We start from the raw sequence: 26,288 nt of genomic DNA on the forward strand, positions 1-26,288 counted from the left end.
ACCTGGGAGGCTGAGGCAGGAGAATGGCGTGAACCCGGGAGCAGAGGTTGCAGTGAGCCGAGATCATGCCACTGCACTCCAGCCTGGGGGACAGAGTGAGACTCCGTCTCAAAAAAAAAAAAAAAAAAAAAAAAAAAATCCAGTAAGTCAGCTGGGCGCAGTGGCTCATGCCTGTGATCCCAGTACTTTGGGAGACCAAGGCGGGTGGATCACCTGAGGTCAGGAGTTCGAGACCAGCCTGGCCAACATGGTGAAACCCCGTCTCTACTAAAACTACAAAAATTAGCCAGATACAGTGGCAGGCACCTGTAATCCCAGCAACTTGGGAGTCTGAGGCAGGAGAAGGCAGGAGAAACCGGGAGATGGAGGTTGCAGTAAGCTAAGATCGTGCCACTGCACTCCAGCCTGGGGGACAGAGAGAGACTGTCTCAGAAAAAAAAAAAAAAATTCAGTAAGTCACTAAACAAATACAAAAGCAAATAATTAAACCCTAAAGGGGAGGAGGGTCAAGATCTAGAATCCCTACAGCATATTATCCAAAATGTCCCATTTCCAACAAAGTACAAGGTATACGAAGAAACAGAAATGTATTCATGATCCACCAGAAGAAAACAAAAAAGGAGGAAATTGCCTATGAATTTGGATTTATCAGAAAAAGACTACAAAACAGACATTATTAGCACGGTCATTGAAGGAAGCCAGAATATTTTTCCCCAAAACATAAAGGATGTTGAATTAAAGATAAGAAACATGTGGGGGAGCTCTCTGCCTTCCCTGTTTGCCTAGAGCAGGACAAAGAAAAAAGGTCTTTCTATCCTCCCCCTTCCTTTACCACTTAAAGACAGGATGTAAATTTTCCTTTATTATAAATTCTCCTTTACTTAGTGATAGTGTTGGAGGCGTTCGAACAAGAGTGACTCCGGTTTTTTGTTTGTTTGTTTTTGAGGCACACTTGTGCTCTTGTTGCCCAGGCTGGAGTGCAATGGCACAATCTCGGCTCACCACAGCCTCTGCCTCCTGGGTTAAAGCTATTCTCCTGCCTCAGCCTCCCTAGTAGCTGGGATTGCAGGCATGCACCGCCACACCCAGCTGATTTTTTATTTTTTGTAGAGGCGGGGTTTCTCCATGTTGGTCAGGCTGGTCTCAAACTCCCAACCTCAGGTGATCCGCCCACCTTGGCCTTGCAGAGTGCTGGGATTACAGGCCTGAGCCACCGCGCCCGGCCCAGAGTGACTCCATTTTTTTTTTTTTTTTTTTTTTTGAGACGGAGTCTCGCTCTGTTCTGGAGTGCAGTGGCGCGATCTCGGCTCATTGCAAGCTCCGCCTCCCGGGTTCACGCCGTTCTCCTGCCTCAGCCTCCCGAGTAGCTGGGACTACGGGCGCCCGGCACCACGCCCAGCTGATTTTTTGCATTTTTAGTAGAGACAGGGTTTCACCGTGTTAGCCAGGATGGAGTGACTCCATTTTGAGTGAGGGCTAGGAAAATGCGGCTGGAACTTGCTGGGCTGCATGCTCAGAAAATTAGGCATTACTAGCCCGGGCGGATCACAAGGTCAGGAGTTCGAGACCCAGCCTGGCCAACATGATGAAACCCCGTCTCCACTCAAATACAAAAATTAGCTGGGCGGGTGGTGGGTGCCTGTAATCCCAGCTACTCAAGAGACTGAGGCAGGAGAATTGCTTGAACCCAGAAGGCGGAGGTTGCAGTGAACTGAGATCGCGCCACTGCACTCCAGCCTGGGAGACAGAGCGATACTCCTTCTCAAAAAAAAAAAAAAAAAAAGGGGGGGGGCCAGGTGTGGTGGCTCGCGCCTGTAATCCCAGCACTTTGGGAGGCTGAGGCGGGCAGATCACAAGGTCAGGAGTTCGAGACCAGCCTGACCAACATGGTGAAACCCCATCTCTACTAAAAATACAAAAATTAGCCGGGTGTGGTGGTGTGCCCCTGTAATCCCAGTTACTCAGGAGGCTGAGGCAGGAGAATTGCTTGAACCAGGGAGGCAGAGGTTGCAGTGAGCCGTGATCACGCCATTGCACTCCAGACTGGGTGACAGAGCGAGATCCCATCTCAAAAAAAAAAAAAAAGTTTACTAAACAGACCCAGACTTGAGAGTATCCAGATATCCCAATATCTGGAGAACAAAGACATAGTTCCTAATTTTGCTTTAAAGCAAATCGATAATAGTATTGATTTTTGCAAAATATAGTAATTTAAAAAATTAATCCTTTATAACAAACCCTTGTAGCAGAGCACATCTCCCCACATATATACAAGCATTGTACCTAGGGTGGATGCATTCCTCCTCTTACTTTCGGGAATGTCCTACTCTGTCTATGGTGTAGCTGTTCTTTCACTACTTTACTTTTTTTTGAGACGAAGTTTCATTCTTCTTGCCCAGGCTGGACTGCAACGGCTGGACTTGCTCGGGTCACCGCAATCTCCGCCTCCTGGGTTCAAGTGATTCTCCGGCCTCAGCCTCCCAAGTAGCTGGGATTACAGGCATGCACCACCATGCCCAGCTAATTTTGTATTTTTACTAGAGACGGGGTTTCTCCACATTGGTCAGGCTGGTTTCGAACTCCCGACCTCAGGTGATCTGCCCACCTTGGCCTCCCAAAGTGCTGGGATTATAGGCGTGAGCCACCACACCGGGCTCACTACTTTACTTGCTTAATAAACTTGCTTTTACTTTGCACTATGGACTCGCCCTGAATTCTTTCTTTCACAAGATCCAAGAACCCTCTCTTGGGGCCTGGATGGGGACCCCTGTCCTGTAACATATTTCTGGTGACCACAAAGGGACAGCAGGCATTTTTGGGTGGAGCAGAACCTCCTTCTGTCAGCTATGAAGGTTCAGATGTGTCGGTCATTTCTCCCTCTAGTCCACCTGAAAACTCTATTGAGAACGCTTCATCCCCTCCTTCTTACCCGTCTAGTCCCACTCTGTACCCACCACTCCCTGAGGAACTTAGTCCAGCAAGTACCACTCATATTGGAGCCTCCTATCAACCTCCAGTGGGAAACCTTTATCCACTTAGAGAGGTGGCAAATGGGGAAGAAGGCACTGTGAGAGCACATGTTCCCTTTTCTATGTCTGATTTGGCTCTATGCAAAGAGAAGTTTGGTCTTTTCTCTGAAGATCCAGGACAATTCATAGATGAGTTGGAGAAATTAACTCCAACCTATAGTTTAACTTGGCAGGATCTGCATGTCTTTTTGTCTCTGTGTTGTTTAGTGGAAGAGAAACAACACATTTTGGGGACAGCTAGGACCCATGCAGACGAGGTATTGGCTCACAACCCAAACCATTATATATATCAGGCAGGAGGTATAGCAGTTCCAGATCAAGATCCAAAGTGGAACTATCAAAGGGGCAGTGAGGACTTGGGGAGGAAAGATCATATGGTCACTTGTTTGTTGAAAGGGATGAAGAAAGGTATGAAAAAGCCTGTTAACTCTGAAAAGGTTAAGGAAGTTTCTCAGGGTAAAGATGAGAATCCAGTTTTGTTTCAAGGGCGTTTCATTGAGGCTATCAGAAACTACAGTAACACTGATCCTGCCTCAAGGGAAGGACAAACCCTTTTCGGAGTACATTTTATAACCCATTCTGCCCCTGATACCCGTAGGAAACTACAAAAAGCAGCTATGGGTCCCCAAATTCCTATGGAACAGCTTTTGGATATGGCATTTTTAGTTTTTTGTTTTTTGTGGGTTTTTTTGAGATGCAGCCTTGCTCTGTTGCCCAGGCTGGAGTGCAGTGGCACGATCTCAGCTCACAGCAAGCTCTGCCTCCTGGGTTCATGCCATTCTGCTGCCTCAGCCTCCTGAGTAGCTGGGATTACAGGTGCCCGCTACCATGCCCAGCTAATTTTTTGTATTTTTACTAGAGACAGGGTTTCACCATTTTAGCCAGAATGGTCTCGATCTCCTGACCTCGTGATCTGCCCGCCTCGGCCTCCCAAAGTGCTGGGATTACAGGTGTGAGCCACCGCACCCAGCCTGGCATTTTTAGTTTTTAATAACGGACAAAGCAGAGGAAGCAGAAAGAGCAAGAAGGACCTCCCACAAGGTGTAGCTCTTGGCTGCAGCCTTAAGCTCACCTCCCACATGGGATTGCTTTCCTTGCTCTTGGACTGAACAAGGGAAGCAGAAAGGCAGGAAGCCCAAAGCTGGGTGTTCCAGTCACTGTGTCTTGGGCATGAATCAGTGTGCACACCGTAAGAAAACTGGCCATTGGAAGAGGGACTGCCCACCGCACTGGAAGGAGCTATCCGCGCCCGAACCAATGATGGCTGAAATAGCCAGGCAAGGCCAGGCGCGGTGGCTCATGCCTGTAATCCCAGCACTTTGGGAGGCCAAGGTGGGTGGATCACCTGAGGTCAAGAGTTCGAGACCAGCCTGGCCAACATGGTGAAACCACCTCTCTACTAAAAACACAAAAAGTAGCCGGGCATAGTGACACATGCCTGTAATCCTGGCTACTCGGGAGGCTGAGTCAGGAGAATCTCTTGAAACCGGGAGGCGGAGGTTGCAGTGAGCTGAGATGGTGCCACTGCACTCCAGCCTGGGCAACAGAGTGAGACTCTGAGAAAGAAAAGGAAAAGAAAAGAAAAGAAAGGAGGGAGGGAGGGAGGGAAGGAAGGAAGGAAGAAAGAAAGAAAGGAAAGAGAGAGAGAGAGAAAGAAAGAAAGAGAAAAAGAAAGAAAGAAAGGAACCACGAAATAGCCAGGCAAGTCCAGGAGTGACAGGGCCAAAACCTTCCGCCACAGCTCCCATCAGACAACTAGCCATATCTCTGGAGGAGCCTTGGGAACCCTTGACTTTGGCAGGTAAGAATATTAACTTCCTTCTGGGCTGCTTATTCTGTTTTGTCCCATTATAATGGGCCTCTGTCACCCCAAAACTGTATGATCACAGGGTAGATGGACAAGCCCATAGAGAGCATTTTACCTATCATCTAAGCTGTTCTTCAGGGACTTTGGTTTCCTCACACACCTTTCTTATCAGGCCTGGATGCTTCAGGACAGTTGCAGCAACTGCTCTTTTAGTAGATGAAACCAATAAACTGGCTTTAGGACAACATCTGGAGGTTTTAACCCCACACCAAGTACAAGGAGTCCTAGAAGCTAAAGGACACCAGTGGATGACGAGGACACTTACGGAAATATCAGGCTTTGTTGTTAGACACTCCTGATGTAACACTTAAAAGTATGCCAGACTTGGAATCCAAACTCATCTTTGGAGAAATACACAGACCTGTCTCCTGTGTCCTTAAGCTTAGCAAAATAAACTTCTAAATTGATTGAGACTTGTCTCAAATACTTTTTGGTTCATACTTTCTTTATATGTCCCCTATTTACTCATTTCTTTTACTTCATTTCATAAATAATCTTTAAATAACCTTTGAATTAGACAAAAATTATTTTATTTATTATTTATTTATTTATTTATTTTGAGATGGAGTCTTGCTCTGTTGCCCAGGCTGGAGTGCAGTGGCGCGATCTTGGCTCACTGCAACCTCCACCTCCTGGGTTCATGCCATTCTCCTGCCTCAGCCTCCTGAGTAGCTGGGACTACAGGCGCCCGCCACCACACCCGGCTAATTTTTTTTTATATTTTTAGTAGAGACGGGGTTTCACTGTGTTAGCCAGGCTGGTCTCGATCTCCTGACCTCGTGATCCGCCCGCCTTGGCCTCCCAAAGTGCTGGGATTACAGGCTTGAGCCACTGCACCTGGCTATTTTTCTTCAAATAAGAACACTTCTTTTTAGAAAAACGTTTTCCATTGAGCCTGGCGCGGTGGCTCACACCTGTAATCCCAGCACTTTGGGAGGCTGAGGCGGGCCGATCACCTGAGGTCAGGAGTTCAAGACCAGCCTGGGCAACATGGTGAATCCCCGTCTCTACTAAAAATACAAAAAATTAGCCGGGCGTGGTGGCATATGCCTGTAGTCCCAGCTACTCAGGAGGCTGAGGCAGGAGGATTGCTTGAACCCAGGAGGCAGAGGTTGTAGTGAGCTGAGATTGCGCCACTATACTCCAGCCTGGGCAACAGAGCGAAACTCCATCTCAAAAAAAAAAAAAAAGAACCTTAAAATTACATAAATGGGTTTTATTTCTATTTTTACCAATAACTCAGAACATGATGATCTCTTCTTTTTTTTTTTTTTTTTTTTTTTTTTGAGACAAAGTCTCACTCTTTCGCCAGGCTGAAGTGCAGTGGTGTGATCTCGGCTCACTGCAACCTCTGCCTCCTGGGTTGAAGGGATTCTCATGCCTCAGCCTCCCAAGTTGCTAGGATTACAGGCGGCCGCCACCACGCCCGGCTTTTTTTTTTTTTTTTTTTTTAGTAGAGACAAGGTTTCACTATGTTGGCCAGGATGGTCTCTATCTCCTGACCTCAGGCGATCCACCCGCCTCAGCCTCCCAAAGTGCTGGGATTACAGGCATGAGCCACCACCCCTGGCCAAACATGATGACCTCTGAGCTCACTGTGTATGTGCTGTGTGTATATCTCCTTCTGCCTGCCCATGTCAGAGGTGGCTGTGACTTGCGTACTCTCCCAATCATATTTCCCCTCCACCTCTTCCCTCATACTGTCATGTCATTTTACTCACGTGATATGACTGGCTTCCTCCACATCATGTGACTGTAAAGCTAACATTTGCATTTTAAAGCCTTTATTTTTTAAGAGCAGTATTAGATTCACAGTAAAATTGAACAGAAGGTACAGAGAGTTCTCATATGCCTCCTGCCCCCACGCATGCACAGCCTTCCCCACTGTCCATATCCCCAGCAGAGTGGTGCATTTGTCACAGTGGATGACCCCACCCGGGCATATCATTGATCACTGAGTCCATAGTTTGCATGAGGCTCAGTCCTGGTGTTGGACAGTCTATGGGTTTGGACAAATGTATAATGACATACATCGTCCACCATTTTAGCATTACACAGTATTTTCACTGCCCTAAAAGTCCTCTGTGTTCTGCCTATTCATCCATTCTTCCACCTCACCTCGCTTTAGCCCCCGGAAGCCACTGATCTTTTTTTTTTTTTTTTGAGATAGTCTCCCTCCTGTCCCACAGGCCGGAGTGCAGTGGTGCGATCTCGGCTCACTGCAGCCTCCACCACCTGGGTTCAAGGGATTTTCCTTCTTTAGCCTCTCGAGTAACTGGGATTACAGGTGTGTGCCACCACGCCCAGCTAATTTTTGTATTTTTACTAGAGATGGAGTTTTGCCATGTTGGCCAGGCTGGTCTCAAACTCCTGACCTCAGGTGATCCACCCACCTTGGCCTCCCAAAGTGCTAGGATTACAGGCATGAGCCACCACGCCCGGCCCACTGATATTTTACTGTCCCCATAATTTATGCCATTTCCAGAATGTCATATAGTTGGAATAATACATTATGTAGGCTTTTCAGATTGTCTTCTTTCACTTAGTAATGTGCACTTAAGTTTCCTTGGTCAGGAGTGGTGGTCCACGCTTGTAATCCCAGCACTTTGGGAGACTGAGGTGGGGAGATTTCTTGAACCCAGGAGTTCAAGACTAACCTGGGCAAGATAGTGAGGCCCAGTTTCTACCAAAAAATTTTTTTTTTTAAATTATGTGGGCATGGTGGCAAATCTGTAGTCCCAGCTACTTGGGAGGTTGAACCAGAAGGACTGCTTGTGTCCAGGAGGTTGAGGCTGCAGTGAGATGTCATGGCACCACTGCACTCCAGCTTGGGTGACAGAGCAAGACCCTGTCTAAAAAAAAAAAAAATGCTTCTATGTCTTTTGTTTTTAGCACTAAATAACATTACATTGGATTTTCCACAGGAACTTATCCATTCACCTACTGAAAGACATCTTGGTTGCTTCCAAGTTTTGGCAATTATGAATAAATGAATACACATCCATGTGCAGGTTTTTGTGTGACACAAATTTTCAACTCCTTTGGGTGAATACCAAGGAGTACAATTGTATGAATTGTATGGTAAGGGTATGTTTAGTTCAGTATGAAACTGCCAAACTGTCTTCCAAAGTGGCTGTGCCATTTTACATTCCCATCAACAATGAATGAGAGTTAATGTTGCTCCACATCCTCGTCAGCACTTGGGCCATTCTAATAGGTGTCCAGTGGTATCTCATTGTTTTAATTTGCATTCCCCTGATGATAGATGATAGGAAGGATCTTTCTTCTGCTTGATTTGCTGTCTGTAGACCTTCTTTGCTAAGGTGTCTATTAAGGTCTTTAGCCCACTTTTTTTTTTTTTTTTTTTTTGAGACAAGGTCTCGCTCTGTCACCCAGGCTGGAGTGCAGGGGCACTCATTGCAACCTCCAGCTTCCAGGCTCACAAGATCCTCCCACCTCAGCCTCCCCAGTAGCTGGGACTACAGGTGCATGCCACCACACCCAGCTACATATATATCTATATATATATATATATAGTTGTTTTTGTTGTTTGTTTGTTTGTTTTTGAGACAGAGTCTTGCTCTGTCGCCAAGGCTGGATGCAGTGGTGTGATCTAAGCTCACTGCAACCTCCGCCTCCCAGGTTCAAGCGATTCTCCTGCCTCAGCCTCCTGAGTAGCTGGGATTACAGACACATGCCACCACGTCCAGCTAATTTTTGTATTTTTAGTAGAGAGGAGGTTTCACCACGTTTGCCAAGCTAGTCTCGAACTCCTGACCTCAAGTGATCCGCCCACCTCGGCTTCCCAAAGTGCTGGGATTACAGGCGTGAGCCACTGTGCCCAGCTAATTTTTGTATTTTTTGTAGAGATGGGGTTTCACCATGTTGCCCAGGTTGGTCTCAAACTCCTAGGCTCAAGTGATCCTCCTGCCTCAGCCTCCCAAAATGCTGGGATTATAGGCATAAGCCACTGTGCCCAGCTAGCTAACTTTTGTTTTGAGACAGAATCTCACTATGTTGCCCAGGCTGGAGTGCAGTGGTGATTCATAGGCACTATCCCACTACTGATCAGCACAGGAGTTTTGACCTGCTCCATTTCTGACGTGGGCCTATTCACCCCACCTAAGGCAGCATAGTGGTCTCTGGCTTCTAACAGGGCATCACATTTTTTTTTTTTTTTTTTTTTTTTTTGAGACAGAGTCTAGCTCTTGTTGCCCAGGCTGGAGTGCAATGGCGTGATCTCGGCTCACCGCAACCTCCGCCTCCCAGGTTCAAGCAATTCTCCTGCCTCAGCCTCCTTAGTAGCTGGGCCTACAGGCTTGCACCATTATACTCGGCCAATATTTTGTATTTTTTGTAGAGATAGGGTTTCACCATGTTGGCCAGGCTGGTCTTGAACTCCTGGCCTCAGGTGATCTTCCCACCTTGGCCTCCCAAAGTGCTGGGATTACAGGCATGAGCCACCGCGCTGGAGTGCAGTGGCACAATCTTGGCTCACTCAACCTCTGCTTCCTGGGTTCAAGTGATTCTCCTGTCGCAGCCTCCTGAGTAGCTGGGACTACAGGCACGTGGCACCACGCCCAGCTAATTTTTGTATTTTTAGTAGAGATGGGATTTCACCATATTGGCCAGAATGATCTCAATCTTTTGACCTCGTGATCTGCCCATTTCGGCCTCCCACAGTGCTGGGATTACAGGCGTGAGCCACCACGCCCGGCCTTATTTTATTTATTTTTTACTGTGTCCCAGGTTTCTTTAAGAACAAAGTGATACATGATGTAGGGATTAAAAGCAAAAGCATCATTGAACTTCACCTTCCCTCCAACCAGTTGTCCCAAAATCCCCTGCCCCCACCCTTTGTGTGCCCAATTCCTTCCTTAGTGAATGAGGAACTTAAGCCCAAAAGCCCTGGCACAAACTCCAGGTTCTCCTCCCCTAGCTTCTTCCCTTCCTCTGTCCCCCATTCCTAGAAGGGCAGGCACCTCAGTTTCAATTCATGGCAGGGCCAAGTGGCAACAGAGACGGGGTAAAGGCTTCCCCTCGCAGCATAGTGAAGTGGGGGCTCCCATAGCCTGGGGTATCAAAATGGGGCCCTGGGGCCGGAGGAAAGAACACTGGCCCCCTGATAAGGGAGACCCAGCAGCCTGAAAATCCTCTCGTAGTGCATAGTCATTGCTTCATCACTTACCCTTCTGGCGCCAGTTACAGAACCACACTGGGGCCACATCCTCTCCAGCCCAACCTGGAGATCTGCTGCAGTGTGGGTTTGTGGGCGCACTGGCTGATGTGGCTGATCTGCTGGGCAATGTGGCTAATCTGCTGTAGTGTGGGTTTCAGGCACTGCAGGAACAAGTTCTCCAGCTTGCCTCTCACTCGGTTCTTCTTCTTTTTTTTTTTTTTTTTTTTTTTGAGATGGAGTCTCGCTCTGTCGCCCAGGCTGGAGTGCAGTGGCGCGATCTCTGCTCACTGCAAGCTCCGCCTTCCGGGTTCAGGCAATTCTCCCGCCTCAGCCTCCTGAGTAGCTGGGACTACAGGTGCCCGTGACCACACCCGGCTAATTTTTTTTTGTATTTTTAGTAGAGACAGGGTTTCACTTTGTCAGCCAGGATGGTCTCGATCTCCTGACTTCGTGATCCTCCCGCCTCGGCCTCCCAAAGTGCTGGGATTACAGGTGTGAGCCACCGCGACTGGCCCGGGTTCTTGTTCTTTCGGCCTGCCTGAGGGTCTCTGCTTTGCATATCTCCTGAAGCTCTTCATTGTTGGCTGCTTCCTCCACCCACTTCTGCAGCAAGGGAGGCAGCTTACACATGTTCTTGAAACTGAGCTGCAGAGCCTCAAAGCAGCTGATGGTCATTTGGCTGAACACCTTCCCAAATAGAACCCCCCAGAGGCTGGGCATGGTGACTCACTTCTGTAATCCTAGCACTTTGGGAGGCCAAGGTGGGAAGTCAGAAGTTCAAGACCAGCCTGGCCTGTAACATGGAGAAACCCCGTCTCTACTAAAAATACAAAAATTAGCTGGGCATAGTGGCACATGCATGTAATCCCAGCTACTTGGGAGGCTGAGGCACGAGAATCGCTTGAACCCAGGAGGCAGAGTGAAACGCCTAACCTTGTTTTTACTCTAACTCGTTACTTTGAATTTTATCCTGCTTGTCTCTTTAATCACCTAGCCTTGCTTCTCATGTAAATAAGACTCTCTCTAGCTGGGAAAGCCAGACAAACTCCAATTGACCCCTTAATTTACAAGATACTAAGGGCTCCTTACCCAACCCCCTTCCGCAAGGAGTTAACCTGTGTAAGCAGATCCTCAGCATTTCAAAGTAGCCCAATTAACTGATAAGGTACTAGCACCAACAATGTATGAAGTTCCCAGGATTTTTCTCAAAGAGATAACAACATAAAGCCTTGAGTTCCTGTCCGGCATACCCCCTATATCTAATTATAATAAAGGTTTAAAGCCTTGCACCTGGTACCGTTGCTCTTCTTGTAACCATTTGTCTTTTAAATTGTTTATCTCTTTGTAACCATTTTTTTTTTATTCTTGCATGTTTTTACTTCTGTAGAATTATTGCATTTGAGTTCCCCTCCCCTTCCTAAACCTAGGTATAAAAGTTAATCAACCCCCTTCCTCGGGGCCAAGAGAATTTTGAGCGTTAGCCGTCTCTTTGGCCGCCGGCTTAATAAAGGACTCTTAAATCGTCTCAAAGTGTGGCGTTCTCTCTAACACCCCTGGGCACAACAAGAGGTTGTGGTGAGCGAAGGTCACGCCACTGCACTCCAGCCTGGGCAACAGAGTGAGACCCTGTCTCAAAAATAAATAAACAAATAAATAAACATTTAAAAAAAGAGCCCCCAGGGTGAGCCCCACACGGGCCTGGATATATCCCAGGGTGATCCTCTTCTGCTTCAGGAGCTTGGCAAATTACAGAGCTTTGATGTCCTGGGACTCGTTGAGGTTTTGCTCCAGCTTCTCCTTCTCTAGCTTCATGGCACCAGCTGGGGCAGTGCAAGGCTCCAGGGAGGCCCCTCACAGTTGCTCTCCACCCAGGCTCCTGCCTCGCCCTCAGGCTGAGAGGTCTTCAAGCCACCTTGGGGCACTAGCCCCACTGCAACCGGAGACCCAGAGTATACCATCTGCCCACGGAACTCATGCAGTGGGGGGCACGGGAGAAACCCCCACATCTCAGAGCCTGGCCCAACACCCGGCCCAATTCCTGCCTTGGAAGCTTAGCCAAGTCCAGCTCCCGCCCCGCTGACCCATTACCTCCACCACCTGGAAGGGGCAAGAAGGTGAAATCCAAAGCCAGGTGTCCCACCATGGGGAAGGAAGGCTCCCCAAGCCAGGGATCTGGTGAAATGAGGCAAAAAGTTTTTAAATTTTAAAAAAAGTTGTTTTAGAAATGAGGTCTTGCTATGTTGCCCAGGCTGGAGTGCAGTGGCTATTCACAGGCATGATCATGGCTCATTACAGCCTGGAACTCCTGGGCTCAAGCGATCCTCCTGCCTCAGCCTTCTGAGTAGCTGGGACTACAGGCATGTGCCACTGTGACCTTCTTAAGGCTTTTGAAATTTTAAAAAGAAAAAGAGTCTGCATTCCTGACAACACACCAATGCCCCATACAAGACTCAGATGTGCCTGCCCTTATTGCTACTTATTGCTTGAGACAGATTAACCCTTGTCTGTTTAAGCCACTATAGAAGGCTACATTGTTATTTGCAATGTAATTTGCATTGTTATTTGCACTATAGAAGGCTACATTGTTATTTGCAGCCACAGTCATAATTATAATTATATGTGATAAATCTTGGAGCTTATTCTACAACAGTACTACTTTATTTTGTAGGAGGGGCTGCATAGAATTCCTGTTAAACAAATGTGTCTTTTTTTTTTTTTTGAGATGTGGTGTCACTCTGTCACCCAGGTTGGAGTGCAGTAGTGCGATCTCCACTCACTGCAACCTCTGCCTCTGCAGCTCAAGTGATCCTCCTGCCTCAGCCTCCTGAGTAGCTGGGACTACAGGTGCCTGCCACCACGCCCAGCTCATTTTTGTATTTTTTGTAGAGACAGCGTTTCACCATGTTGCTCAGGCTTGATGTGTCATTTTTCAAAAATCAAGCCAGTCCCCTATTTATGAACAATTAGTTTGCTTCCATGCTTTTGCCATTCAAACAGCCCTCAACTGTACCTCTTTCTACGTTTGTCTGTGCACATGGGGGAATACATATGTAAGATAGTTTCCTTGGCCCTGAAGTGCTTAATCAAAGGATTGGTACAAAGGATTAATGTTACATTAACAGATATGCCAGCTTGCCTCCTCATGGAGTTGTAAAAATGTACACTCCCACTTGTAGGTATCACAGCCTGCTTTCCCCAGCCTTGCAAACAGTGTCCCATCACAAGTCATTCTGAATGCTAGTATAGGACACCAAATCTCTCTTTCCTCCTAACAACCTGGCTAGGCAGCCAGGACAGGGATTCCTATTTACTACACTCTGGTTTTATAGGTAAGTAAACAGATTCCCAAGGATAAGGAACCTACTTTTCCCAACCTCAACCTGAATTTCTGGGATTAATACCTTCTAAGAATAGATATGAATGTGTAGTGTTGTAGCAGTAGCAGTAGTATTTAATAGTAGTAGTAGTAGTGTAGTACCATCATCCCCATTCCCCATTCCTCAAGCTGGAAGCCATTCTTTTCTTCACTTCTGGTGGAGATGGGGACAAAAGCTTTGTTTCTTTTTTTTTTTTTTGAGACGGAGTCTCGCTCTGCCACCCACGTTGGAGTACAGTGGCAGGATCTCGGCTCACTGCAACCTCCACCTCCCGGGTTCAAGCAATTTTCCTGCCTCAGCCTCCAAATTAGCTGGGATTACAGGCCTGCAACACCATGCCCAGTTAATTTTTGTTTTGTTTTGTTTTGTTTTTTGAGACAGAGTCTGGCTCTGTCGCCCAGGCTGGAGTGGAGTAGCACGATCTCAGCTCACTGCAACCTCCATCCCCCTAGTTCAAGCGATTCTCCTGCCTCAGCCTCCTGAGTAACTGGGATTACAGGTATGTGCCACTAAGCACAGCTAATTTTTTTTTTTTTTTTTAGATGGAGTTTTACTCTTGTTGTCCAGGCTGGAGTGCAATGGCGCAATCTCAGCTCACTGCAACCTCCACCTCCTGGGTTCAAGTGATTCTCCTGACTCAGCCTCCTGAGTAGCTGGGATTACAGGCATGCACCACCATGGCCGGCTAATTTTGTATTTTTAGTAGAGATGGGGTTTCTCCATGTTGGCCAGGCTGGTATAAAACTCCTGACCTCAGGTAATCCGCCCGCCTCAGCCTCCCAAAGTGCTGGGATTACAGGTGTGAGCCACTGCTCCCGACCCATTTTTTCTTTTTTCTTTTTTCTTTTTTTGTATTTTTAGTAGAGATGGGGTTTCACCATGTTGGCCAGGCTGGCCTAGAACTTCTGACCTCAATTGATTCTCCCATCTTGCCCTCCCAAAGTGCTGGGATTACAGGTGTGAGCCACTGCACCTGCCCAAGAGCTTTGTTTCTATCCTTTCTAGTCCATTCCCTCATAATTTCTGAGCCCCAATCCTTCCCTTCTTCCAACCCTCTTCTCTTTGTTTTCCTACTAGGCCTGCCTTTGCGAAGTCCCACTGTAGATCATAAGGAGGCTGCAAGAACTGATGAGTGGTCCATTTCCTTGCAACCTCTAGAAGCCGGAATATACTTCAGGCAGGGCCTTGTTACCAGAGACAATGTGTAGCAGTTAAGGCCAGAGCCTTCCACTCCACACCACCCAGGAATTGCTATGGCTGTTCTGTGACCTTGGCCAAGTTACTTCTGCTTTCTTCACTGTCCTTATTTGTCAAATGGGAATGCTAGTACTAATCACCTCACAGAGTTGTAGTAAAAACTGCAGGCTGGTGTAGTGGCTCACATCTGTAATACCAGCACTAAGGGAGGCAGAGGTGCGAAGATAGCCTGAGGCCAGGAGTTGGAGACCAGCCTGGCTAATACAGAGAGAACCCCATCTACACACATGCACCTGTGACTGTAAAGACTACGTGACTGTTGCTACTACATTATTATTATTATTAACAGAGGACACTATTAAGAATCCAGCATTGTAATCTGAATACTCATTTTAATCCTTCCAACGATCCCCCAGATCGTTGTCTCATTTCACGAAAGAAAAGGAGCCTCTAATCCCATCCCTACCAGGGTTTGGCAAAGTGGGCAAGTGAGAGGCTCAACCATGAGCTTCAGTTCCTCCTCTGTAAATGGTAACAATGGCACTGTCACAAAGAGGACCAAGTGAGACCACAGGAGGCCCGTGTGTGTGCGTGTGTGTGTGTATGTGCCAGAGACAGAAAGAGAGAGAGAGACAAAGTTTCACTCTTGCTGCCCAGGCTGGAGTGCAATGGTGCAATCTCAGCTCACCGCAACCTCCACCTCCTGGGTTCAAGCAATTCTCCTGCCTCAGCCTCCTGAGTAGCTGGGATTACAGGCATGCGCCATCATGCCCAGCTAATTTTGTATTTTTAGTAGAGATGGGTGAGTTCTCCATGTTGATGAAGCTGGTCTCGAACTCCCGACCTCAGATGATCCGCCTGCCTCGGCCTCCCAAAGTACTGGGATTACAGGTGTAAGCCACCCAGCCCGGGCTTTTTTTTGGGGGGGGACGAGTGTCCCTCTGTTGCACAGGCTGGAGTGAAGTGGCACGATCTCGGCTCACTGCAACCTCTGCCTCCTGGGTTCAAGCAATTCTCCTGCCTCAGGCTTCCAAGTAGCTGGGACTACAGACGCCACCACGCTGGCTAATTTTTGTATTTTTAGTAGAGACGGGGTTTCGCCATGTTGGCCAGGCTGGTCTCGAACCCCTGACCTCGTGGTCCGCCCGCCTCGGCCTCCCAAAGTGCTGGGATTACATGCTTGAGCCACCCCGCCGGCCGGCCGTTCTTAAACGCACGACTACTTCCCTAGCTTTCCAGCACCAAATCCAGCGGCCCCACCCGGCCACGCCCCCACGCCAGGCCATGACCCCCATATGGCTCACTGCGCAAGCTCACACCCAGTCCCAGGAAGCGAGCCCCACGTCGCCCCAGCTCTGCATTCACAGCCGCCAAGCGGTCCCGGAAGCCGAATGCCGGATAGGTCAAAGACAGCGCCGCTGCTCCGGCACTGCCGCCAGAGGGCGCGGAGTCGCCGTGTTGGCCTGCACCTCCCTTGTCACGTCAGCCGAACGGCTACGGCAATGGAGGATTTTGCCGTATGCGACGACAGGATGACTGCTTCCCCTGAAGCTTCACCAAACACGGAGAGGCTTTCCTGTCCCTGGGAGACGCGGTGATGTGACGCAGCGGTTGCAGCGAAGGTTTCTTGTAAAAGATGGCCGCTGCGGAGTTGCTAGGTGTCTCCTGGCAGGCGGCGGCCGCACCACAAGATGGCGGCCCGCCCCAGGGTCCCACACGCGGGGCTGCGGAGGCGGCGGCCCCGAGGGTCCCCGCCCCTTGCTGGCCCTGTCCCCGCGTGCGGGGCTGCGACCTGCCTTTGTGTGCGGGTGGAAGTGCGGGCCGCCTTGGGGCCGAGTTGCAACTTCGCGACACTCCACTGGAGTGCGATGAGACGATGAGATGTTACCTCCTAACACTTCGGGAGGTGGGCAGCATGGCAATTCCTAGTAACCTCAACGCGATTCACTCAGACTTCCTTTTTCCCATCCTGAGCCGCAAAACCAGGAACTGGTGAAATAAATCAGGCCATCTTTCAGAGGAATGGCCTGCCACCGTTAAAAAGAGCAAAGCTGCAGTTTATGTACTAATGTGGAACCAGCTCTGAGATAAATTAAGTGAAAGAAAGCAAAGCACAGGAAAATGTGTATAGATATGCCTTTGTGTTTTTAAACAAGAAGACCCACATAAATGAAGATATGAATGTGTAAGCATAGTATAGCGGTAATGGTAATAGCGATCGCCCAGCCTAAGGAAGGGAATGGAGAGATACGGAACAAGGATGGGAGGAGACAGTTTTCATCTAAGACCGTTGGGTTTTCTGAGCTTTGTACCATGGACAGGTGTTAATTTTAAATTTTTTGTAAATATTTAAATTATGGCTTAAAGACAAGTTCTTTTGTAAGGGTATAAGGGCAGACTAGCACATAGAAAAAAAAAGACTTTTTTAACCTGGAACCAAGACATTTGATAAACATTCATGAAACTCAATTTTCAAGGATAAAAATTTCAAGGTCAATACTGTAGTACTTACAGCAAAGAATGCCAATCATTGTGACAGCCTGAGCCCTCTTGAAAGCTAGTTTTTGTTGGCGGGGGGTCAGAAAATTTGGCCTGGGAAGCAGGAGGCACTCGACCTATTTGCTGATGCTGAATGCCTTTCTACTGTAAGCATACATAGTCTCAATGGCTTCTTCTGATTTTGGTATATCTTAGGCTTTTCGGGTTAATATCGAAAACAGTGGCAACATTGAGAGTTTGAGCCAAGTTCTGCCTTAGAATCATCCAGAAAGGTGTTTCCACTGCCTGAAAAATAAGTAGTAGCAGTTTCAGAATTGGCATTGAGTTTGGAAATCGCCTATTTGAACTTGAAAGAAGTGTTAGTCCTCCATCCTAAAGCAACAACCATACTGAGCCTTTACTAGTGTGCCAGGCACTGGAGAAGAGGGTATTCTTTTTTTTTTTTTTTTTTTTTTTTTCCTGAGACGGAGTTTCACTCTTGTTGCCCAGGCTGGAGTGCAATGGTGCGATCTCGGCTCACTGCAACGTCTGTCTCCTGGGTTCAAGTGATTCTCCTGCTTCAACCTCCCAAGTATCTGGGATTACAGGTGCATGCCACCACACCCAGCTAATTTTTTTTTTTTTGAGATGGAGTCTTGCTCTGTTGCCCAGGCTGGAGTGTAGTGGCATAATCATGGCTCACTGCAACCTCCATCTCCCAGGTTCAAGCGATTCTTCTGCCTCAGCCTCCCTAGTAGCTAGGACTACAGGCACGTGCCACCACGCCCAGCTAATTTTTGTATTTTTAGGGAGATGGGGTCTCATCATATTGGCCAGGCTGGTCTCGAACTCCTGACCTCGTGATCCGCCCACCTCGGCCTCCCAAAGTGCTGGGATTACAGGCGTGAGCCACTGCACCTGGCCACACCCCGCTAATTTTTGTATTTTATTTATTTATTTATTTTGAGATAGAGTTTTGCTCTTGTTGCTCAGGCTGGAGTGCAATGGCACGATCTCGGCTCACTACAACCTCTGCCTCCCAGGTTCAAGCGATTCTCTTGCCACACCTTCTCGAGTAGCTGGGATTACAGGCGTGTGCCACCATGCCTGGCTAATTTTGTATTTTTAGTAGAGACGCGGTTTCGCCACGTTGGCCAGGCTGGTCTGGAATTCCTGATCTCAGGTGATCCGCCCCCCTCGGCCTCCCCAAGTGCTGGGATTACAGGTGTGAGCCACTTCGCCAGGCCAAGAGGGCATTCTTACATGGGATAATTACACATAGCACTCTGGGTTGTTGAAGGCATTAAATATGCTAATAAAAGTTTAGCCAAGTTACCTACCTGTACTAAATGCTCAGTAAATATTAGCTATAATTGTTTCAGGGAATCCCTCAGTTGCTTGATAAAGTACATTTTTGCCTCTGAGACTTTTTGAGGACTTAAAAATATGCTAGTTCTGTAGAGCTCTTACTATTTTCATCATCTTAGAGGCCACGTGGAAAGAATTTAGATTCTTATTGTGGAGCCTACAGTAAGTTAATTAACCTTTCTTTTTTTTCCTTTTTCTTTTTGTGTGTGTGTGTGTGTGTGTGTGTGGTGTGTGTGTGTGTGTGTGTGTGTTGAGACAGAGTCTCACTCTGTCACCCAGGCTGGAGTGCAGTGGCTCAATCTTGGCTCACTGCAACCTCTGCCTCCTGGGTTGGAGCAATTCTCTTGCCTCAGCCTCCTGAATAGCTAGGATTACAGGTATGCACCACCAAACCAAGCTAATTTTTGTATGTTTAATAGAGATGGGGTTTCACCATGTCGGCCAGGCTGGTCTTGAACTCCTGACCTCAGGTGATCCACCTATCTTGGCCTCCCAGAGTGCTGGGATTACAGGCGTGAGCCACCATGTCTGGCCGTACTTAACCTTTCTTGGTTTCAGTCTCCACATAACTAAGGTGAGAATCACAAAACCTGTTTCATAGGGTCACTGTGAGAATAATAATTAGAATTAATATATGGAAAGCACTTTGTGCAGGGTATGCAGTAGGCACTTAATAAGTGGTGTTTAATTCTGTAATATCTCAACCTCAAAGGTAAAGAACTAATTAATACTGCCCTCAGGCAGAAGAGTTTCCCTGGTCAAGAGGCAGGAGTGGGTTGCTGCAGGGTGACAGTTAACACAGGAAGCCTACAGTGAGAAGTTGAAGGGATGGCAGGTCCACGGACCTCAGAGCCTTGGGCCTCAGGCTTCCTGTCTCTGTTGGGGAAAAGGCAAGGCCTCCACAGGAGGCGGATATGGTCTGCAGGCTATTGCCGAGATGCCTCTTTGCCAACAGCCACCTGCACTGTTTCATTTCACAGTTGCCTATAAACCACTGTTTCTGAGGCTCATCTTCATACTTTAATATGAAGTGGCTACTGCATACTTTTTTTTTTTTTTTTTTAAGACAACATCTTGCTCTGTCACCTAGGCTGGAGTGCAGTGGAGCAATCATGGCTCACTGCAGCCTTGGCCTCCTGGGCTCAAGCAACCTTCCCTAGTCTCAGCCTCTAAAGTAGCTGGGACTACAGGCATGTCCCCCTACACCTGGCTAATTTTGTATTTTTGGTGGAGTTGGGGGTTCGCCATGTTGGCCAGGCTGGCCTCAAACTCCTGGGCCCACTTCGGCCTCCCGGAGTGCTGGGATTATATGCATGAGCCACTGCACTCGGTCAGCCCTTCTGTCTTTTGATAGAAAATTCAACATTAGGCCAGGCGCAGTGGCTCAGGCCTGTAATCCCAACACTTTGAGAGGCCGAGGCAGGCGGATCACGAGGTCAGGAGATTGAGACCATCCTGGCTAACCCAGTGAAACCCCGTCTCTACCTAAAATACAAAAAATTAGCTGGGCGTGGTGTCAGGCACCTGTAGTCCCAGCTACTCGGGAGGCTGAGGCAGGAGAATGATGTGAACCTGGGAGGCGGAGGTTGCAGTGAGCCGAGATCACACCACTGCGCTCCAGCCTGGGCGACAGAGCGAGACTGTCTCAAAAAAATAATAATAAATAAAAATAAATAAAATAAAATTCAACATAAAATGCCTTAGCCAAGCATAGAGTTCAATTTTCTCATAATCGAGAAGTCCAGAGTGGTAAAATCACATCATGGAGCCATTGGGCCAATGTTACTTCTGTACTTTTGCCCAATCATCCTTACCCTGTGGGTATCATCCTCATTCTTGTCACCTCAGGGTCATAAGATGGCTGTTACCTCCTCTATCACATCCGCATTTCAGACAGGGTAGAAGGGAAGAGAAAATGGCAAACCATACTTGCCAGCTCAGTCAGCCCTTGTTTTTATGAACTTTTCAGGAAGCCCCACCCAGTAGCTTCTGCCTACACTTCATTACCTAGAACCATATTATATTACTTGGCCACTTCTCCCTCCAAGGAACACTGAGAAATGAAGTTCTTTATCTGGGCACATTGTTGTCCTGAACAAATCAGGGTTCTGTTAGAAGAACAAATTGGAGAGTAGATAGGTGAGCGATACAGTAAAATTTCATTAAACAACATTATTCACGTTTCCTAACTGCAGGTGATTTGCCTGCCTCGGCCTTCCAAAGTGCTGGGATTACAGGCGTGACCCACCGCGTGCGGCCGCAAGCTTCTTGACAGCTCTGTTTTGAGAAATCGTGGGGCACCCAGGTTCTGTCTGTCTGATTGCTTTGTAACCTCCAAGGAGTTGCCATCACCTAAATAGTCTAAAAATTGGTTGCCATCACATCCAATCCCAGCCAGTGTAAAGCTGGAAGAGAAGAAAAAAGGCATACCCCTCTTTTTTTTTTTTTTAAGATGGAGTCTTGCTCTGTCGCCCAGGCTGGAGTGCAGTGGCATGATTTCAGCTCACTGCAACCTCCACCTCCCGGGTTCAAGCAGTTCTCTGCCTCACCCTCCCAAGTAGCTGGGCTTCCAGGCACCCGCCACTATGCCCAGCTAATTTTTGTACTTTTAGTAGAGACGGTTTCACCATCGTGGCCAGGCTGGTCTTGAACTCTTGACCTCGTGATCCACCCGCCTCACCTTCCCACAGTGCTGGGATTACAGGCATGAGTCACTGCGCCTGGCCCCGGAGTTTCACTCTTGTTGCCCAGGCTGGAGTGCAATGGTGAGATCTCAGCTCACTGCAATCTCTGCCTCCTGGGTTCAAGTGATTCTCCTGCCTCAGCCTCCCAAGTAGCTGGGATTACAGGCATGTGCCACCACACCTGGCTAATTTTGTATTTTAGTAGAGATGGGGGTTTCTCCATATTGATCAGGCTGATCTCGAATTCCCGACCTCAGGTGATCTGCCCGCCTCGGCCTCCCGAAGTGCTGGGATTATAGGTGTGAGCCACCGTGCCCAGCCACATCTGCCTCATTTTTAAAAGTATGACCAAGAAGTTGCTCGTCCACTGGCCAGCATGTAAGGCTTTATTCTGCGCGTTCATATATTCAGATATAAATTGAAGGTCTTACTACAGAAAGAGAGGTCAAAATCTTTGCCTTAGCAGGCATGGTGGCTCACACCTGTAATCCCAGAACTTTGGGAGGTGGGAGGATTTTTTTGAGTTCAGGAGTTAGAGACCAGCCTGGACAACATGGCAAGATGCATCTCTACCAAAAATAAAAATAAAAACAAAAAGCCAGGCATGGCGGCACATACCTGTGGTCCCTTCTACCCTGCTACTGGGGAGGCTGAGCCAGGTGGATCCTTGAACCCAGGAGTTTGAACCTGCAGTAAGCTATGATTGCATCACCGCAGTTTAACTGGGCAACAGAGTGAAACCCTATCTCTATCATATTTTTTTACAAAGAAAAAAAATTGCTGGGCGTGGTGGCTCACGCCTGTAATCACAGCACTTAGGGAGGCTGAGGCGGGCGGATCACGAGGTCAAGAGATCGAGGCCATCCTGGCCAACATGGTGAAACCCTATCTCTCCTAAAAATACAAAAATTAGCTGGGCATGGTGGTGCGCGCCTATAGTCCCAGCTACTCCGGAGGCTGAGACAGGAGAATTGCTTGAACCCAGGAGGCGGAGGTAGCAGTGAGCCGAGATCGTGCCACTGCACTCCAGCCTGGTGACAGAGCGAGACTCCATCTCAAAAAACAAAAGAGAGAAAAAAAATTAGCTGGGTGCAGTGGTGCATGCCTATAGTCCCAGCTACTCAGGAAGCTGTGGTGGAAGGATTGCTTGAGCCTAGGAAGTTGAGGCTGTAGTGAGCCGTGATTGAGTCAATGCAGTCCAGCCAGGGTGACAGAGTGAGACCCTGTCTTAAAACAAAACAAAATCTTTGCCTTCCCAGAGTTTACATTTTCCTGGGGTGACACAATGAACAAACAAATACGTCAAGTGGTAGTAAATGTTAAGAAGAAGACAAAATCAGGATAAGGGGATAGAGATGCAGTTGATACTTTAGAGAAGATGGTCAGAAAAGACCTCATTGAGTTGGTGATACTTGATCTGGGACCCCAAGAGAAGAGTGCTTCTGGCAGAAAGAACAAGTATAAATTCCTCGACATGGGAATGTGCTTGGTATGGTTGAAGAAGAGCATGATGAGGCCAGATGCCTAAAATTGAATGAAATCAAAGAAGGCGTATGAACTAGATCATGTAGAGCCCCGTATGCTAGGATAAAGAGAGTGATTTATTTAAGTAAAATAAAGGTTACTTGGGGGGAAAATGAAAAAATAAATACATAATTTTAAAAGATAGTGGTTTTTTGTTTTGTTTTTTTGTTTTTATGAGACAGGGCCTATATTTGCCCTAGGCTGGAGTGCAGTGGTGCAATCTTGGCTCATTGCAATCTCTGATTCCAAGGCTCAAGCAGTCCTACCTCAGCCTCCTGAGTAGCTGAGACTACAGGCGTGTGCCATCATACCCAGATAATTCTTTTTGTATGTTTTTGTTTTTGTTTTTGTTTTTTTTTGAGACAGATTCTCGCTTTGTCACCCAGGCTGGAGTGCCATGGCACGATCTCGGCTCACTGCAGCCTCCACCTCCTGAGTTCAAAAGATTCTTCTGCCTCAGCCTCCCGAGTAGCTGGGACTACAGGTGCACGCCACCACGCCCAGCTAATTTTTGTATTTGTAGTAGAGACAGTTTCGCCATATTGTCCAGGCTGGTCTCAAACTCCTGACCTTGTGATCCACCCGCCTCGGCCTCCCAAAGTGCTGGGATTACAGGTATGAGCCACTGCGCCCAGCCTGTATTTTTAGTAAGAGATGGGGTTTCACCATGTTGCCCAGGCTGGTCTCAAACTCGGCTCAAGCGATCTGCCCCAGTCAGCCTCCCAGAGTGCTGGGATTATAGGCATGAGCCACCAGGCCTGGCCAAGATAGTGATTTTTTAAAATTTAGTTTTAATTTTTTTTAGAGATGAGGTCATACTATGTTGCCCAGGCTGGTCTCCAACTCCTGGGCTTACACAGTCTTCCCACCTCAGCCTCCTAAATCATTGGAATTACAGGCGTGAGCCACTGCGCCTGGCCTGGATAGTGATTTTTAAAAGATGAGAAACTTCAAACTTCTCAGCAGAGGGTGACATATCTGGATTTAGGTTTCTTAAAGACCACTCAAATAAGTTATAAAATCTACATATGTGGTGTTTTGATGTATACTGATCCACGTTTCCTGGCGCATACTCTATAGCGTTTGTTACAGTCTTTTGTTACAATGCTGGGTATGTTAGGCCTCACAGCAGGCCTCTGACCTTCTCCTGCCCTCCTTCCACTCTAATGTTCTCCACCTCTCTGATTGTGGGTCTTCAGACCCTCCCATGAGAAGGTCCCACCTTATATATACTCTGAAGGAGGAAGGAATGCTGATGGCAAGAAGCTTCCATAAAAATCCAAGATAGGCCGGGCGCGGTGGTTCACACCTCTAATCCCAGCACTTTGGGAGGCCAAGGCGGACAGATCACGAGGTCAGGAGATCGAGACCAGTCTGGCCAACATGGTGAAACCCCGTCTCTACTAAAAATACAAAAATTAGCCAGGCGTGGTGGCAGGCGCCTGTAATTCCAGCTACTCGGGAGGCTGAGGCAGGAGAACAGCGTGAACCTGGGAGGCGGAGATTGCAGTGAGCTGAGATCACACCACTGCACACTCCAGCCTGGGTGACAGAGCAAGACTCCATCTCAAAAAAAAAAAAAGATTCTGGAGTTCTGGTCTGGACTTGCCACTGGTGTTGGGGGAGAGGGTGGTCTTGGAGAATGAGCAATCAACCTGTGAGATCTGACACTATCAGATAGTGTCGGAACTGAATTAGAGGACACCTACCTGGTGTCCACTGCTTGATGTGTGGGGAAAACCCCCTACACATTTGGCCACAGAAGTCTTGATGTTGATGATTGTTGTCATGTGAGAGTAGAGGAAAGATGTGGTTTACAGGGTGTTTTCACTACACAATACACTCTCAAAGACATAAAAGTAAGAGCTGGCTAGGCGTGGTGGTTCACGCCTGTAATCCCAGCACTATGGGAGGCCGAGGCCGGTGGATCACCTGAGGTCAGGAGTTCAAGACCAGCCTGGCCAACATGGTGAAACTCTGTCTCTACTGAAAAAAAATAGCCAGGTGTTGTGATGTGCGCCTATAATCCCAGCTACTCGGGAGGCTGAGGCAGGAGAATCGCTTGAACCCAGGAGGCCGAGGTTGCAGTGAGCCAAAATCGCGCCACTGCACTCCAGCCTGGGCAGCAGAGCAAGACTCCGCCTGAAAAAAAAAAAATATAAGAGCTAAAACTATAAAAATCTTAGAAGCAAGGATGGAGGGAAAGCTTCATGATTTTGGATTTGGTGATGATTTTGTGGCTATGACACCACAGGCACAGGCAACAAAAGAAAAATAGACAAACTGGGGCCGGGTGTGGTGGCTCACGCACTTTGGGAGGCTGAGGCGGGTGAATCACCTGGGCTCAGGAGTTCGAGACCACCCATGGCAACATGGTGAAACCCCATCTCTACTAAAAATACAGAAAAATTAGCTGGGAATGGTGGCGTGCTCCTGTAGTCCCAGCTACTTAGGAGGCCAAGGCGAGAATCGCTTGAGCTCTGGAGGAGGAGGTTGCAGTGAGCCAAGATTGCATCACTGCACTCCAGCTTGGGCTACAGAGTGAGACTCTGTCTCAAAAAAAAAGACAAATTAGACCTCATTGAAATTAACTTTTGTGCATTGAAGGGTTGGAAAGCTTTGATACATTTCCTCACCAATCATAAAGGTCATGGCCAACATGCCTATGACAAAAGACAGAATTACAAGAGAAAATAATAACAAACTTATTTACAACATTTTACACAATACAGGAGCTTCTGGAAATGAAGACCTAAAGACCAAGGGAAAACTATTTGTATGCTTAGGTTGAATGAAGAATGGACAGCCATGTAGAAATATGATTGGACAAAAAGGGTGTGATCTAATAGTAATACACTGAGGGGAAGAAACCCAGTAAGGTTCAAATTCTTCTTGGTCTCTCAGTGTAGCATTTCTTTGCCCTAGGTATCGGCAGGACTCTTCTGGAATGAGGGTCTTCAAGGGAGAAGAGGAGAGTAACCTCGCTTTTTTTTTCTTTCTTTTTTTTTTTTTTTTGAGACAGTCTTGTTCTGTCATCTAGGCTGGAGTGCAGTGGCATAATCTCAGCTCACTGCAACCTCTGCCTCCTGGGTTCAAGCAATTCTCCTGCCTCAACCTCCCCTGCCTCAGCCTCCTGAGTAGCTGGGACTACAGGCGTGTGCCACCACGCCCAACTTTTTTTTTTTTTTTTTTTTTTTGTATTTTTAGTAGAGACGGGGTTTCACCATGTTGGCCAGGGTGGTGTCGAACTCCTGACTTCAGGTGATCCGCCCATCTCGGCCTCCCAAAGTGCTGGGATTACAGGAATGAGCCACCGTGCCCAGCCTAGACAGAGTAACTTTTCTAGGTTTTGTGGCTAGCTCTGGGGGAGTGGGATTCTAGTTACTACAACCTGCCTTGGGAAGAAGGGTTCTGATTCTCACTTCAGTGGAGAAAGAGGGATGGGAGATAGGAGGGCAGGAGAAGGTCAGAGAGAGACTTTGCTTCTGGAACCTTTCAGTCTCCTTTAGTTCAAAGCACTCAGCATGCTAAAGCAGCATACTTTGGGGTATCATTTTCTGAGCCTGAACAGCATCAAAGAAAAAC

At 47.8% G+C, this 26,288-nt stretch overlaps 1 pseudogene, besides 7 other annotated features; it reads right to left on the minus strand.

Moving 5' to 3' along the window:
* Positions 510-1,440: an enhancer, noted in NCBI's record as "H3K27ac hESC enhancer chr3:128384140-128385070 (GRCh37/hg19 assembly coordinates)". NCBI's record gives its function as "activates a minimal SCP1, AML or CMV promoter by ChIP-STARR-seq in naive H9 embryonic stem cells {active_cell/tissue: H9 hESC(naive)}" and the evidence as "EXISTENCE:reporter gene assay evidence [ECO:0000049][PMID:30033119]".
* Positions 9,628-12,264, minus strand: POU5F1P6 (POU class 5 homeobox 1 pseudogene 6; annotated as a pseudogene).
* Positions 10,549-10,618: an enhancer, noted in NCBI's record as "active region_20490". NCBI's record gives its function as "activates an Ori minimal core promoter by ATAC-STARR-seq in GM12878 lymphoblastoid cells {active_cell/tissue: GM12878}" and the evidence as "EXISTENCE:reporter gene assay evidence [ECO:0000049][PMID:35858748]".
* Positions 15,733-16,425: an enhancer, noted in NCBI's record as "H3K27ac hESC enhancer chr3:128399363-128400055 (GRCh37/hg19 assembly coordinates)". NCBI's record gives its function as "activates a minimal SCP1, AML or CMV promoter by ChIP-STARR-seq in primed H9 embryonic stem cells {active_cell/tissue: H9 hESC(primed)}" and the evidence as "EXISTENCE:reporter gene assay evidence [ECO:0000049][PMID:30033119]".
* Positions 15,733-16,589: a biological region, named in NCBI's record as "H3K27ac hESC enhancer GRCh37_chr3:128399363-128400055".
* Positions 15,900-16,029: an enhancer, noted in NCBI's record as "active region_20491". NCBI's record gives its function as "activates an Ori minimal core promoter by ATAC-STARR-seq in GM12878 lymphoblastoid cells {active_cell/tissue: GM12878}" and the evidence as "EXISTENCE:reporter gene assay evidence [ECO:0000049][PMID:35858748]".
* Positions 16,140-16,309: an enhancer, noted in NCBI's record as "active region_20492". NCBI's record gives its function as "activates an Ori minimal core promoter by ATAC-STARR-seq in GM12878 lymphoblastoid cells {active_cell/tissue: GM12878}" and the evidence as "EXISTENCE:reporter gene assay evidence [ECO:0000049][PMID:35858748]".
* Positions 16,370-16,589: a silencer, noted in NCBI's record as "silent region_14710". NCBI's record gives its function as "represses an Ori minimal core promoter by ATAC-STARR-seq in GM12878 lymphoblastoid cells {active_cell/tissue: GM12878}" and the evidence as "EXISTENCE:reporter gene assay evidence [ECO:0000049][PMID:35858748]".

This window comes from Homo sapiens, chromosome 3 (genome assembly GCF_000001405.40).
Source record: "Homo sapiens chromosome 3, GRCh38.p14 Primary Assembly".
Lineage (NCBI taxonomy): Eukaryota > Metazoa > Chordata > Mammalia > Primates > Hominidae > Homo > Homo sapiens.